Raw genomic sequence first — 17,651 nt, 5'->3', positions numbered from 1 at the left:
AATCATTTTCATAAAAAAAGAAATGATCTGAAACTATAACTTATATTTAAAAAGAAAGCAGAGCATAAAAGTTTGGAAAATTTGCTGACTGGCCATGTGGTAGAAAAGAAAAACCCATTTTGGGGGGAGAAATTCAAGTGTACTGCAGAAATCTGCCTAAGTAAAGAGGAGCCAAATGTTAATAACCAAGACAATGGGGAAAGTACCTCCAAGGCATTTCAGAGACCTTCATAGCAGTCCCTCCCATCACAGGCCTGGAAGCCTAGGAAGTAAGAATGGTTTTGAAGGCCAGATCCAAGACTCCACTGCTCTCTGCAGCCTCAGGACATGGTGCTCTGCATCCCAGACAGTCCAGCTCCAACCATGGCTAAAAGGGCCCTAAATACATCTCAGGTCACTGCTCCAGAGAGTGCAAGCCTGGAGCCACCAAGACTTCCTCGTGGTGTTAAGCCTGTGAGTGTGCAGAGGGAGAGAGCTGAGGCTTGGGAGCCTCCATTTAGATTTCAGAGGTTGTATGGAAATAACTGAATGTCTAGGCAGAAGTCCGCTGCAGAGGCAGAGCCTTGTGGAGAACCTCTCCTCAGGCGGTGGAGAGGGGAAATGTGGGGTTGGAGCCCACACACAAAATCCCTACTGGACTGCAGTCCTCCAGAGCCCAGAATGCTAGATTCACCAACAGCTTGCACCATGCACCTGGAAAAGACATGGGCACTCAACACCAGCCCACCAAAGCAGCTGTGGGGGCTGTACCCTGTAGAGCCACAGGGATGGAGCTGCCCAAGGCCTTGGAAGCCTACCCCTTGCATCAGTGTGACCTGGATGTGAGTCATGAAATCAAAGGATATTATTTCAGAGCTTTAAGATTTAATGACTGCCCTGATGGGTTTTGGATTTGCATGGGGCCTGTAGCCCCTTTATTTTGCCCAACTTCTCCCATTTGGAATGGGAACATTAAACCCATGCCTGTATTCCCACTGTATCTTGGAAGTAATTTGTTTTTCATTTTATGAGTTCACAGATGGAAGGAACTTGCGCTGTCTCAGATGAGACTTTGGACTTGGTATTTTGAGTTCATGCTAGAATAAGTTAAGACTTTGAGAGACTGTTGGGAAGGCGTCATTGGCTTTGAAATGTGAGAAGAAAGTGAGATTTGGGAGGGGCCAGGGGTGGAATTATATGGTTTGGCTCTGCGTCCTCACCCAAATCTCATGTCAAATTGTAATCTTCAGTGTTAGAGGAGGGAGCTGGTGGGAGCTGATTGAATTATGAGAACAGGCTTCCCCCTTGCTCTTATGTAAGAGTTCTCATGAGATCTGGTTGTTTCAAGGTGTGTATCACTTCCCCCTTCACTCTGTCTGCTCCTGTTCACACCATGTAAGATGTGTTTGCTTCCCCTTCACTTTCCGCCATGATTGTTTTCTGAGGCCACTGCAGCCATGCCTCCTGTACAGCCTGTGGAACTGTGAGTTAATTAAACTTCTTTTCTTTATAACTTACGCAGTCTCATGGATGTCTTTATGGCAGTGTGAGAATGGACTAATACAATAGCTCACCCTGAGAATGTTTTTTAACATATTGAGTTTAAGATGCTCATTGATTCATTCATCCAAATGGAGATGGGAAAAAAGTGTTTTTTCCCCAAAAACACTTGAGTGAAGAGGTGAAGAATAGTTTTGTGTAGTCTCACCTATTGTTTTATAACTGTACTAAGAACTTTGATTTTCAGGCTTGATACAAATATTCCACTCATTTAGTATAAAATTTCAATGTGAAATACTTATGTCTCTGAACTAGTAAAGTAAAAGATAATTCTTACTCTTTTTTTCATCCATGAGAATTACTATTCTACATCTGAAAGTACAATGCAAATTTTATAATGTTCTCAGCAGTGAGTTTTGCCACTTTTATATGAGAGAGGCTGATAAAGGGAAGAAATGAGGGAGAGTCAGAGTTTGACACAGTGTGCTGTTTGTCATTGCCTAAAGTCATCATGAATATGGGGTTATGAGAGAGACCTGCTGCAAGAATAAAGATTTTACTGGAACGCTTCAGATTTATATTAAATTGAAATTTATATTGATACTTAAGTTGAAAATTAATGCTTACTCTTTTAGCTGCTCTGCCATGAGGGAATGTACTGTGTTGAGACACATTATCTTTCCACCCAGAGCAAGTTATGTGAGATATAAAATGGAATAGGGCAAATATAAGAGGAGGAGCTAGCAAAAGATAGACAAGTGATCTTTTAAGGGAATATAGATAAAAGAGAAGGGAAAAAATAATAGAGAACAGGCAGGAAGCCCCATAACAAAAATTTTGGAGATAAGAACAATAAACAGAAATCAAAATGGTCCTAATTTTATATTTTTTAAAGCACAGAAATAAGAGCTGAAGGAATCATAATAAAATAGATACTAACTTGAAAATTTTCTCATTATTTTCTTCGTTTTTATTATTTGTAATTCAAAACATGTTCTTTGAGAAATAGCATGTGGTATTTACTGTGAAGTTATACTGACTTATTTCTTAACTCCATTTCTCAAAATTTAATAATTTAATTATGCTACTTTCAATCTAAATATCAGCTTAATTAAACATTTATTAAGCTTTCTACGAAAGAGGCTATGCAGCATGGGAGATAAAAGCTTGGGCTTTGCCTGGTTTCAAAGTTCTTGGGCTAAATAATTCACTCTATGTGCCTCAGTTATTTCATATGTAAAATGTGGATGGTACAATAGTACTTATTTCATACTGTGACCATGAGTGTTACATAAATTAATTCGTGAAATTAATTGATGATTGCTAAATAGTATGTGCTCAACCATGTTAGCATTATCATTACCACTTACAGTGTAGTAATCTGTGCCTGTGCATGAATAGTCCCAATAACTCTTATTAGATTACACCATTTCAACTTATTTTAAATTAAGGCATGCAAAAAGTTGCCAGAATTGTGAAATGAATTTTCTTACCTCTTTATTATTTTTTTCCTATGTTAGCATTTTATGAAACCACAACCAGGATTACATAAAACCAGAAATTAAGATTGGTAAGATACTATTAACTATTTTGCAATTCTAGTTTCTAATAAAATTCCATCAGCTTATCTACACATGTCCTTTTTCCGTTCAGAATTCCATCCAGGCTCTACATTATGTATAGTTGCTATTTATCTTGAGTATCCTCCAGTCTCTAACATTTCCTCAGTCTTTTCTTGTCTTTCATCACCTTGATACTTGTAAATCCCTGATCAATTATTCTGTAGAATGCTCCTCAATTTGGGTTTGTCTGATGCTGTCTCCTTATAGCAATGGTATGATATATTGTTTAAAAGAATACCACAGAGACAATGTTGTACCCTATTTGGTGTTTCATATCAAGTGGTTCATAATGTAAATATATCTTAGTTTAGGTTTCGTTAACCTGGATAATTTAGCTCAGGTAGCTTCTTCCAGGATTTTCCATTCTAAATTTACTATCTTTCTCTTTGTAGTTGTTAAATAACTTAGGGGAGATATTTGGAATTTATAAAGCCTCATTCTCAAAATTTGCCATATAATTTTAGCTTCCATCAATGAACATGTCTTAAAGATTTATTATTACTGTGTTTGCATAACAGTACTTTTTTCTTACCTTGTACATATATCAATTAGAATTATATTGTAAGGAAGAATAGACTGTCATCCTCATATGTTTATTTAATAAACAATTTTGTTAATATAGACATGAATATTTATATTTTTATGGATTAAAGTCCATTACTATCATTATTTATCTTGCTATTCAATTTTCTTTTTTCAGCTTTGGCCACTTACAGATTATTCAAATTGTTGGCATCTGTGTTCTTTCAACAAGATCTTATCTTTTCCTTCTTTTTGAGCCCTTTTTTATTTTCTGGCACTGTAAGACTTTCCAGCTTCCATTATATTTCTTCTGCCCTGAAACAACTCCAATCTATAAAAATTTTGGTTTGTTTTATTGGAAAATGATGTTTAGAAAGCGAAATGGTATGTTCATTGTTACTAGCATGTTATTGCTTCTAGCATACATACATAGATATTCACATCAATATGTATCTAATAACCATATGTATCTCTTTGTGTGTAAATATACATACATACATATACATGCATGTATATACACATTAAAAATCATATTCTTATATTAAAAATTAAACTCATATTAAAAAATCATGAGTTTATACTGCTATTTTATAGCACCTATGTCAGTATAAAGTTAACATTCTGACTAAATTTGGAATATATAGCCACGTATATACCCACTGGACACCTGACCATTGCAGCAGTTGGGTTAAACTCTAGGTCAGGTACAGGTTGCATAAACACATATGTGATAAGATATTAGCACTCCTGGGGAATTCCTAAATGCAATTAACTACAAATTATCACACTCGGCATAGTGGAATTGTGTTCATGTGTGAAAATAATGTGTCCAACTGACAGGTCCAATGACATAACCCTACAAAGAGTACAGATAGCAGAATAATGGATCCTCAAAGATGTCTGAATCCTAATCCTTGAAACCTGTAAGTATGTTACCAAACTTGCCAAAGGAAATTTACATATATGTTACTGTTATCAACCTTGAAATGAGATTATCTCTGATTATCCAGATGGGCCTTATCTAATTACACAAGATCTGAAAACTCAAGATGGTTTCTACCTGCCATTGCTGGCTTTGAAGAGGATGAAGATGGCTACAAACCAAGAAATGAGGAGGCTTCTAAAAGCTAGGATTGACCCATCGATCATAGGTGACCAGAAAATAGAGGCTTTGTTTCTATAATTACAAATAACAGCAACTGAATCTAGAACCCACAGAAAGGAGCCACACACTTCCAAAATCATGATCTTTGCCTAGCAAGACCTATATCAGACTTCTACCTACAGAATTGTAGGTTCTTGATAACTGTAGGTCAGTAGATCATGGATTTATGTTGCTTTAAGCCACCAAGTTGGTGGGATTTTGTTACAGCAATAGTGAGGAATTAATACAGTGGAGTTTTCCTGAATTCTCCACACATTCAGAAGCCTGAGAGAATTCAGCTAATTGAAATTATTAAATAGACAGTGGAGTTATATGAAAATGGTAGAAAGAAAACAAATCTTTATTGAACACTGATTATGTATCAAATGTGTTAAGCACCTTAAACATTATCAAATATAATCACCTCAATAACCCATTGAAATAGGTTTCATTTTGATCATTTTATGCATGTAAAAACTGATGCTTAATGGAGAGGGTTAATAATATTATGGATAATATATAGTTATGAAAGAGTGAGATTGCCATTTTTAGCTAATGCAGGTCAGGATTCAAAACCTATTTCCAATAAGAGGCCATGTTTTTTTAAAAACATCTGGTCTGTGCCAATCCCTGTGATATGTGCTTTACTTGCATTATCTTATTACTAATAACATATAATTTTGTTGAGACTGACTGTAACCAAGAGTTTTAAATAAAGGAAATAATCATTAGAATATTATTTTTTAAGATAATATTGAGACAAAAACTGAGCCTTGAAGGATGGGAGATGGGTGGCATTTAGGTTGCTGCAGAATAGCATGAAAAGCAGCAAGGATAAAAGGTGCATTCATATCTAGTGCATTTTGTTCTTTAATATCAAAAACATCACACACTAATAATTATGTGTGTATAATATAAATTGTATATATGTGACTATATATATACAAAACAATCCGTTTGGGGGATTATTTTTTGATGTTATTTATGTAGGCTATTTTGTCCCTTATGACCATACTGATAAAGTGTGATTGTTCATTAAATGGACAAAAGATGAAATTCAGCTTATTGTTAAAGACAGTGTAAGAAAGCTTTTGGAACATGTAGCTAAGGGAGATTTTGGCTCACATTTATAGTCTATAGCAAAATATATTCAAGAAGTACAACCCAGAAGTAACTTTCAAGATACAGTTATAAGACCAAAAGCAACCTTTTGTGTTTTAGAGCAAATAACTCACTATGAAATTTAAATCCTAGCTAAATTTTGACTGCCACACCTTGAAGCAATGAGACAATTTTGCTCCATTTTCTCTCATATATTTTTCTGGTTTTGTCACCGGCATGAAGTATTGGCATTTGCATGCTTCATTTATTCTGTGAAGTATAGTAATATACTGTACTATTTTGACCTTTTTGAAAGGCTGAAATTTAATTAGTTGACTATTTTCCACTTGTCATCGTCTCAACTTCATTGAGTTGTGAGAAAGGATAGGCTAGCCATAAAATGTGTGAAAAATGATTAAAGATTTAACATTTCATATGTCTTTAATCCTTGTGATCCTCTCAGTTCTGTTTCAGGAATCTCAGATGCCTAAGCAGCATTTGATCTTATTGAAGTCATGATAATACAGCATGGTGTTCATTACAACACCCGTATCATGATGCTTAACAAATTTAACTCTCACATTTCTAGGAAATAATGCCCTTTTACTGAGTGTATAGTGTATTCGAGAGCAAGAAAGATACTCTGAGTGAAAGAAATTTATCATTTTGATATCTAGGAGTTTTGCTCTTTATTGCTAATGAAATGAAGGGCAGTTACATGGATGAAGAAATGCCAGAAATCGCATGAAAGAAATAGTTATCTGCTCTGTGCCTCTATTTTTAAAACAATCTGCTATTAGTATTAAATATGTCTCTCCCACTTTATGTTAATTAATATAGATGTCTCGGCTCCCACAAGATGATGAATAAAATACTTAAGCACTGGTTTGGATCTTGAGTGAGTGCATGGATAATAGAAGTTGGATATGCAGTACTTCAGTTAAATGCTACATTTCTAGCAAACAAGTCTCCTATTCTGAAATAACTTTTAAACATATGTGATATTAATCATAATGACATATATTTTGTATTCGAGAGTATATTTTTTGTGTAATGCTAAACTACAGACATCATTACAACATGCCATTTCTTAAGGTTAATGAGATAATCCAGGCTTCTAATTCTTATATGAGATAGATCTTTGGAGAATAGGATAGTTTATCACTTTCGAGTGATCATATATTTCTTTCTTGTATACTGTACAAATTTAGCTAAAAATAAGAGCGATATTTTTAACAAAGATACATTACTGTAACTATGAGCATTTAAAATGATCTGTAATGGCATATCAAACTTACTAAGATTTTAAAATATAGCATACTATTTTAAACCTGACATTTGCATGTTGCTTGTAGAACTCAGGAAGCAGGGGGATCTTCACTTACTATCACCTTGACTTTCTCATACAAACAAACAAAACAAATACTAGAGGATGTGGCATTATTCTGTCCCTAATGATTTGGGGAGACAGGCTTAAAGTCAGAAAGTATTTTCTTTTTAAAATCTTCTTAGTTTCACCTTCCCCAATATTCTCATTGGTCTCAGAGCTGTGCTGCCTGTGGCTAAATTCATTTCTCCATGCCACTGAATCAAATAGTAATCAGACTCTTTCCCCTAAAATGACAGATTTAAAAATAATTCTACTTCATTTGTGCACTTTGTAAGGATAAGAATAATTTAATTAACCCAAGTGTGCAGGCCATGAATTGTTGCAAAGTAATTCACACCAAGAGAATAGTTATAAACAGCACAATAATTCAAGTTCATGAGTATATTTTTATTATTACAAAGTGATATTTTAAAAACACTCATTTGTTTGAGAAATCACATGAGGGCACATTACCCTTTATAACACCAGTTTCCTAAAATGAAAATGATTCTGTGAAATACAGAAGCTAAGGCCAGTGGAGGAATCTCTAGAAGCAAAATTTGTTAATCTTGCCTTAGAGTCAATATGTAGCGTAATGATTCTGTTAGCTTCTCTCTTACAAGGGCAGAACCTAGGAGAGAAAACTAAAAACTTATTTAAATACACACATTTTGATTTTTTTCTTAAGTACAAAATAACTATGTATTAATTGTAACACATTTGAAAAATTATCTTCCATCTTCACATAATACCTGATTTCATTTGTAATTATGTTAGCAAAGATCTGTCTTCTATAATCTAGACTGTAGACTGATATTCATGAGTGGTTGTGGAACATGGAAGGTATTGTACTATTTTTTTGCTAATTTTTTTGGTGATAGAGCACTTATTGGGTAAATGTGATTCTTCTAACATAGAGCATCCAGTAGATAATTACTTTTCCTTAACATCTTTTTTTTTTATACATTCACATTTGTAGGTAGTACTCATTTGTAGGCTGTACTCATTGTAGGTAGTATTCATTTATAGGTCTTACACAATTTGTAGGTAGTACTCGTATTATTCTCTTCCACTGAGATTCTACCTAAGAAGTCTGGAATGAAGTGCCAGCAATAGGTAAGATACCCTCCATAGCAAATTCTAGGTGTCAACTTTGTGTAATTATCCATTATTAGAGTCTTATTTGGTGTTTGAGGGGGGAATTGGAAACAGCTTTAAGTAAACTTACGTTTTATCATTTATATGTAACACTATATCAAAGTGCTACAAATATGCTAGACCCTAAAATAATAATTAGCTGATTAGTTAATTTAGAATAGTGTCTCCTGCTACTCACCAATATTTCTGGTTCTTTTTTCTTTTGTTGCATTTTCCCATCTTTTTGAAATTATAGGAGGCATAGTGAATTGCCTTGTAATTGGAACTTATGTTTCACTTTTAAGTGGAAGCATTTAGTTTTTAAAAACCAGTTTTAGATTCTCCATGCTTGTTTTCCCCAGGTCACAGTAAAAGGGAAAACACTTATGGATATGGAGATGCCACAAAATTAGAGTATTTGGGATCGAAACCATCACCTCACCTGCCTGGACTCACAATGAGCAATACTCTGGGATCTTTTGATATTTGTGGATTACATGTTACTGAAAGCCAATTTACCTGATTCTGAAAAATACCAATGCTTATTTCGAGGTAAGACATTTACCAATTTTACAGATAGAAGGTCTGTGTGAGTGTGTGTGTGTGTGTGTGTGTGTGTGTGCATGTGTTCAAGTATAAACAAATTGGTTTAAGAACCATGGATGAGAAAATTGATACCATCGTGTAAATAGGAAGAGGTAATATAAACAGAGATCACAGATGAAATTTTTCACTGAAGATTTCTACACAAAGCCAAAGCTACTGATGTCAGAATTTCTCTCTTATGGGACATATCTTTCCATGAGCTTCAGGTTTCTGTAAATATAGCTTATTGAAATTACCAGTGGTCTTTACATGCCCTATGTTTCAAAATCCTAACTCATCACTTCTCTCCCAAAAGATTCTATATTTTTAAATCTTACTTGGTGGTCCGTACCTTTCTCAGTCACTTAGTCTACAAACCCAGAAGTATGGAAATTGATTTCTTTTTCTCCTCTTACCTTTTCATCCAGACACAAATCTTACAGATTTCAATTCCTTAACATATTTCACTTGTTCCTCTCTAATTTTACTGCTCCTGTGGTACTTCATTATCTCTTGCCTGGTCTAGCCAATTAACTGGCCTTCTTTCATCCATTTATTTTAACCTTTAACCAAGCCTCCACAAAAATCCCCAGGGAGATATTTCTAACTTGCAAATCCGCTCTTGTTATTTCCACATATGAACTCTTCAGGATAATTTTTAGTGGAATCTTAGTCCTGTGAGATATTCCTTGTAAAAAACTACCTTGAACAAATGAGTTTAGGGATAATGTTTGGTAATTTACAAAGCACACAGATATATTAAAAACTCAAAGAATGCCTGCTTAATCTTGTTTGATTTGTATTTCTCAAATTGACTTAACAATGAACTCTTTGTATTCCTTTATAAGATCTATTAACACCTGCAGATCTGCTTTTCCAGATTGGCCCCAGGATAATGTCAAGCCTCTTAACATGTGGTTCTAGCCCCTGTTTGCTTCTCTAGAATCGTCACGGTCTTTAATTTTATGCTCTGGGAATTATAAAATGCCTCTAAGCCTCTGCACCTAGTAAGTTATTTTTCATCTTCCTGCATTTGTTTTTTAAATTATATTTGGAATGTTGTCCTCACCAAAATAAGATCTAGGGCTTTGCTGATCAATCTTTACACTTCAGATCAGATGCAAATGACCCCTGGAAGCCTTCCTGATACTTACCTATTCCTAATATTGTGATTTCTATAATAAATTCTAATTACCTATTCACTTATCTTTTTTTCTTAAGAATATCAACCTTTGATAGCAAGGACCATCTCTTCATTCCTTGTGTTTTAGTGCCTTGGAGATATTTTGTGCACAATAACTATTTATATAATTAATGAATGAACAAATAAATATACAAAAGAAAACATAATGAATGTACGAAATGATAATTTTCTAAATGACTGTATATCATACACAAATGTGAATAGTCATTAAATGTTTACACGGCAATTAGTTGAATTTATTTCAAGCCTCCTTTCTTGATTTTGATGTGCTTTTATAGGGACCCAAATTAGGACTATAAAGTTTCCACAGTGTATTCACAGTAAATAAATTTATTCTGGCCAGATAAAACTATCAGCCTCAGCTATTGGCAAAATTGTGGTATATTTTTTTCTATGCTTGCTTTTGATTCTTTTCACAATGTGTGTGCTTTTTTTCTTGATGAATGTATGTTGAGTATAAAAGTTGCTGCTGCCCTAAATTTGCCAGAATCTAGAAATTACTGGATTGTGATTTAAAAATAGGTGATAAGAATTTCTCAGCCTGAGGTAGTCTCACTGATAAGCATGGACCACTTCGATTTACCGGTTTTGCCTCTATTTTTCTGGATGGCAGGATGCAGTCATTTATTCTGTGGACCTCCTAAATTTTGGATATTGCCCTGATGCTGTGTTTTCATTTCCAGATTCCCCGCATTGCTTTTCACCATATTTAGCCTGCAAGTCATGACACATCTATGTAGAAGTCTTCACAATCTGTATTTCCTGTAGAAACAGCCCTGGGATAATGACCCTCAATTTTAGCAGGTCCCACAAGAACCACATACTTAGGAAATGATTTTCTCTGCTCCATTGCATCAACAGTCTACTTTCTTGTTTTATTGTTTCTCTCAAGGAAATACTATCCAAACAATCACCTAGATGTCAAAACTCTGACTTTTTGGCTGATTTTTCTACCTAGAAACTCAAGTTTTTGTGGTTTTTATCTTTACATTATAAATAGAGTCTTTGCCACCTAATATTTTTAGATTTCTAACTAACTTTTTTATGAGCCATAACAACAGAACCCACACATTTTTCCTTCTACATCTTTTTATTTTGCTTTCCAGCAGCTTATATAAACTGACAGCTTGGCTATACTAAATCTCAAGTAATAATTTTCAGCAGGAGTCCTGTGATATTTATCTGACTCATAATTATAATCTTATATAAAACAACAACAATAAAAGCAATGAAAAACAACTGTTATCTAGGCATATATTTTACCCAGAGTAATCTTGAAAGGCTTACTGGAATTTACATTTCTCAAAATTAAACAATATATGGGTTCTCCTTCAAGTGGGGCGTTTAGTTATTATGGCTATAATTTAAATTTTTGGATCTTGATCAAACATATGTCTTTATGCTGAAATAAACAAAAACATACATCCTTAAAATATCTTCTAAAATTATATATTTTTATCTATCTATTGATGCTTATATACATTTTCTTTATAAGTATTATGGTTTAATGGAACACTTAATTCTTCATCTGTATCAGTAAAGTTTAACTTATTTCAGTGCAATACTTACAAAAACTTCCGTTGTAAGAAAATATATATTTATTGATAATTATTTGGGAGTTATGCAGTCTATTCATTCTTTTTCTAAATCTATTTCTGAATTAAGTAAATCCACAGATTAAAAAAATACCCAGATTGTATTATTTTGATTCCCCAAGACTGCCAAAATACTGCTTCATGGTTCAGTACATCATCACACTTGTACTGCAGTGTGGATTCATCATTGCTTGAGAGGGCCATACAGGGCCTGGGGTGGCTGTTCTCAGGCTGTTTGCTTCTGTTTGTAAGCAGTATCTTTCTTTTACAGTGGGACGATACAAAGATGAAAGGTTATCATTCTCTCTTTGTAACTCAGTTTGAAACTGTCTGGAAAACATTCCTATCAAATTATTTAAATCAAGGGTGTTTTTGGTCATATTATGCCATTTATCTACATTGTGGTATTTTATATAAAAGATGGCACTATAATAATGCCAAATGTCTTAAAAATTTTAATTTATTACTGTATCAGTCAGAGTTCAACCAGAGAAACAGAAATAAGAGAAGATTTTATATATAGAGAGAATTATTACAAGGAATTGGGTTATGCGATTGTGGAGAATACGGCAAGTCTGAAATCAATAGGGCCATCAAGAAGGACAGGATAAAACTTTCAGGAATGAATTGAAGCTGCTATCTGTAGGTGAAATTTCTTCTTCAGGGAAACCTGTTTAGTTCTTAAAGCTTCTGAATGGATTGAATCAGGCTTATTCTAGGACAACCTATCATACTTTAGGTGAACTGATTATGAACGTTAATCACATATACAAATGATTTTCACAGAAACACCTAGATTAGTGTTTAATTAAATAATTGGGAACTATAGCCTATCCAAGTTGATGCATAATACTGACCAACATAATCAAAATAGTTTATATAATGTTGATGAAGCTTCAGAGTAGACTTTGGGACCAGGAATGTATGATATGTTTCTGGGGAAGATATTTTTGTTTGTTTGCTTGATATGATTCAGTTTATTTTCTCTTGTTGGTACCATGAATAACTGACCATAAGTTCTGTGATAGAATCACCTTCAGGTGACCTCAATGAGTCCCGTCTGTGTATAGATTCCCCTCCTCTTGAGTCTTAACAGAATCTGTGACTTGCTTCTAACAAATATAACGTGGCAATTGTGATGGACTATCACTCCCATAATTATAGTACATTATATAAGACTCTGACTTGGCAGACTGGAGCAAGAGATTTTCCTTCTAGTCTTGCAGGAGTAAAGAACCGTGCTGTAAACTTCTTACAGAGTGGGCCAAGAAGCAGGAAGCTGTCATGGCCTCTAAGAACTAATGGTGGTTTCTTGTCAATAGCCACTAAGAAATGGGGATCTATAGTCATATGGCTGGAAGAAAATAAATTCTGCCAACAATATTACTAAGCTGGGAAGCAAATTCTTTTCTAGTTAAGCCTCTAGATGAATATGCAGCATGGTGGCTACCTGAGAGCCCTGAGCAGAGAAGCCAGTTAAGAGATGCCTGGTTCCTGACCCACAAAAACTGGGAGATAATGAATGTCTATTGGTTAAGGCTTTCAGTTTCCAGTAATTTGTTATGCAGACATAGAAAATGATATAATTCTCTTTCTCCATTTCTGCTTAAGGAGACCTAACTCTTGGCTGGTTTTTTAAAAAGACACTTTAGCGTTTCATTCAGCTCCATTCTTTACCCTAGTTTGTATCAACAAGAAAAGTGGTAATTTGACTTTTGGGTTTTTTGCTACTTGTCTTGGTGTTGGGTTTGTTCATAATTTGCAATAAGTACAGAGATAGTTTTAATAAGGCTATCTAAGAGACTGTACCATCTGGTGCATAATATGGGGAAACTGGGAAGTAAAAGAGGGAGTAGAATATTCAGGCCTAAATGATTGATGAAGAGGCTTTTGGTTTAGCTTCTGGACTCCAAAACCTTTGAACTAAATTATTCGATTTTAGTTAATTTTAAAGCCCAATTTAAAGGAAATTATCTTTATAACCTTTACAAGCATTGGTAAATTTAACAATTTTACTCAGTCTAATGATTTATCTGTGTGGTCTTGTTCATTAGAAAATTTCAGCCTTGGAACTACACGCATCGAACTGCTTTCCTCTGACTTCAATCTCAGAAACACTGTTCTTAAATATAAAAGGTAACAGATCACCCTACCATGCTGGAGATAGAACCAATACTGAAAAAGAGATAGAGAAAGACAAATAACAATGTTAAGGCCAAGGTATCTTCACAGAGGACAGTACTTCTGAAATGATTTGATAATTAGTCACAGTGCAAAGGAAGTAGAACAAAAGACAAAGAAATTATAGGATACTTGAAATGAATAGATAGTGGTTCAAGAATGATAGTGGTTCAAGAAATAGTGTCAGTACTAGATGGGGACAGGCAGAAAAATCAAAAAGTAATAAAAGAGCAGGGGGGCATACTTCAAATGAGACCTAAAGCTTCAGAGGATAAATCTATTAGATCTATAATCTAATATAAATGGGAAAAGTAGGGATATATCCAAGATATTTACATATCAAATATGTTTTTCAAGGTAAGGTTGCAAAAAGGAAGGTTTAACTGTTTACCTGGTAAAAGGACATGACTGGAAACCATACAACTCCGATTAAAAAAAAAAGGTGGAGAATTGATTTAGTGAGATTGAAATGGCTACCTTAGGGAGAGACTGGATCCAGCAAGGGATAAAACACAATTATTAACCATTGTTTTGATATCTGAAATAGGCTAAAATATAAAATATCTTTAATAACTTGATCTGAAAGCAAAACATGATCTTTCCCAAATTATGCTGGGAGAAAAGTTCACTTAAACTTATTTATAGTCTTTATGAATCTCACTTTATGTGAATATTCATATATTTGCAACAGTAATATTAATATGCTTTATTATAGAGTACTCCCCCAGGTCCCATGGATCTATATAGATAGATAGATAGATAGATAGATGGGATCTATATCTATAGATATCTATAGATATATAGATATATGTCTATATATAGATATCTATACATATATAGATATATAAATATATAGATATATAGATCTATAGATATAGATATAGATGTAGAGATAGATATAGACAGATATAGATCTATATATAGATCTAGACCTACAGATCTAGATCTATATATAGATCTATATCTGTCTATATCTATATATAGATCTATATCTGTCTATATCTATCTCTACATTTATATCTATATCTATAGATCTAGATATCTAGATATATATAGATATTTATATATCTAGATATCTAGATCTATAGATATATATAGATATCTAGATATATAGATCTATATCTATATCTATATCATAGATCTATATATAGATATAGATCTAGATATCTAGATATATATAGATATCTATAGATAGATATCTATAGATATAGATAGATATAGATAACTATATATAGATATATAGATATAGATATATAGATATCTATATCTATATATCTATATATAGCTATAGATCTATATCTATAGATAGATATCTAGATCTATAGATATATATATATATAGAGAGAGAGAGAGACAGAGAGAGAGAAAGAGATAATATAAAAGTTCTACAATCTCAAAATGTTGAATTCTAAGATATATTTGACTCCATATGTACAGAATAAGAATTGTGGACTCTTTCAAGAAACACTCTTTCTAATATGAAAATAGAGAAGCTATTACCAAAAAAAAATCCCAAATCAGATAATTACTTGTTAATGTTTGTGCCAGAATATAGAAAATGTGGACAGATTAAAAGTGGTAGCATGTATGTTGTTTGTCTCCTGAGAGAACAAGTTAAGATTGTTTATGGAGGTAGTACTCTAAAGGTAGAACTCTAAAGGAGGGAAACATGATCCATGTTTAAGATGAGAGGAACTGCACAATTGATTATCATGCATTGTATGCCTGTATCAAAATATCTCATGTACCCCATAAATATATACACTGATGTACCCACGGAAATTAAAATTTAGAATAAATTTAAAAAGAATGAATAAGATCTACTGTTTCACAGCACAACAGGGTGACTATAGCCAATAATAATTGTACATTGAAAAATAACTAAAAGAGCGTAATTGGGTTATTTGTAACACAAAGGATAAATGCTTGAGAAGATAAATACCCCATTCTCTATGATGTAATTATTACAGGTTGCATGTCTGTATCAAAACATTTCATATATCATATATATATACACACACATATGTATATATACACACACATATATATGTATATATACACACATATGTATAGTATATGTATACAATTTATGTTTATGTATATATCTTTATCTTGTATGTATTTTACCAAGTCCTATAAAAATAAAATGTTATCTAAATAAAAAGAAAAAATCTATCAGTATCATGGTAGACAGAGTAGTGTTGCTAAAGAATAGTGAATACCATCACTATTCTACCAAGAAACACTATTTTATGCCCATTGTTCATTCAACATTAAAGAGGCTCTACATTTCAACTTTCATATTCCACTACTTCCTATATCCACTCTAAAATTCATAAATCTTAAGTACTACTTTTAAAAACACATTGCACCATTGTGATAATTTGAATAATGAGTCTTAATTATTTATTTTAATTGCCAATTGGTGTGTAAGAAATTTCCCTAAAACTTAGTGCTGTAAGCCAACAAATTATTATTTCATATGATTATTGAATGAGGATTTGGGACAGGGCTTCTCCAGGTGTTTAGTCTTTTCCTGTGACATCAGCTGGAAAATGTATTTGGCTGTATTCAGCTGGCAACTGGGTTAGGCTGAAAAGTCCAACAAGGCTTTACTCACATGTTTGGCATTCCGGTGTTCTTCCACATGGCTGCCTTCTTCTGTTGTGGCATCTTACTCTCCAGGGCTTCCTCTTGTTTTCTCTCACTCTAGCTTGCAGGATAGTTTGTATCTTCTTACAGCATTGCTGGTTTTACAAAATAGGATAAATTAAAGCTGCCATATTTTGAAGGCCTGGGTTTGGAAGCTGTAGAATATCACTTGTGCGGCATCCCATTGCTTAATGCAAGCTCAAATGTGTGTACAGGGAAGGGAGAAGTTGTTAGTGGCCTTATTTAGAGGCAATTTTTATTCAAAGCTATTTATTTACAACCTTAGTACATTGAGCAATGAAATAAACACTGGAGATATAGGCACTGGAGATACACTTTTATTCAAAATTAATTATTTACATGTATTGATAGACATAATCTTTATTGCATTGAGCTAAGTGTCTAATAATAACATAAATTAATCAAATAATCTTTAAAAACATAATTACAAACAGGAAGGGGAGGGGCAAGTGTTAAAAAATTATCTACTAGGTGCTATGCTCACTAACTGGGTGACAAATTCATTCATACTCCATACCTCAGCATCGTGCAATATACTTTTGTAACAAACCTCCATGGGAAACCCCTGATTTTAAAATAAACTTGAAAAAAAACATAAATTTTTTATAAATAATAAAGAAAAACTCCAGAGAGATATTTGAGGCATCATTTGATTTTGGGGAGTCAGTGAATAATTTCTGGGCTCATATTTGAGGAATGAATACAAGTAATGGTACTATATGATTTGATATGAAGTAGAGATAGTATGGTAGAATTTCAGGCAGAGATAATATGCACAGATAGAGGTATGAAAATATACCAACATTCCTGTAGGCTAGTGAAACTAGACTAAAGAGGCTAAGAGAAAGAGTAGCTGGAATGAGGTTGGAGAGTCAGGCTGGAACAGACAATTCATGGTCTTGCAGTATGGAGGAAGGATCTTAGTCTTTATTATTACAGCAATGAATTATCATGAAGATTGATATGATTATCTTTATTTATGTTAAAAGATTGCACTGGCTGCAGAGTATACAATGAATTTGGGAAAACATGCATATAC

General features: G+C 33.5%; 1 long non-coding RNA gene across 1 annotated transcript; it reads left to right on the top strand.

The window, feature by feature from the left end:
• Nucleotides 1–2,996: 2,996 nt before the first annotated feature.
• On the top strand, nt 2,997–10,304 carry LOC105377187 (uncharacterized). The gene is made up of 4 exons (XR_941009.2): nt 2,997–3,049; nt 4,464–4,546; nt 4,634–4,774; nt 8,737–10,304. It is a non-coding gene; the product is annotated as an uncharacterized LOC105377187 (long non-coding RNA).
• The last annotated feature ends 7,347 nt before the right edge of the window (nt 10,305–17,651 follow it).

This window comes from Homo sapiens, chromosome 3 (genome assembly GCF_000001405.40).
Source record: "Homo sapiens chromosome 3, GRCh38.p14 Primary Assembly".
Taxonomy (NCBI): Eukaryota; Metazoa; Chordata; class Mammalia; order Primates; family Hominidae; genus Homo; species Homo sapiens.
This window is presented reverse-complemented; position numbering and strand designations above follow the sequence as displayed.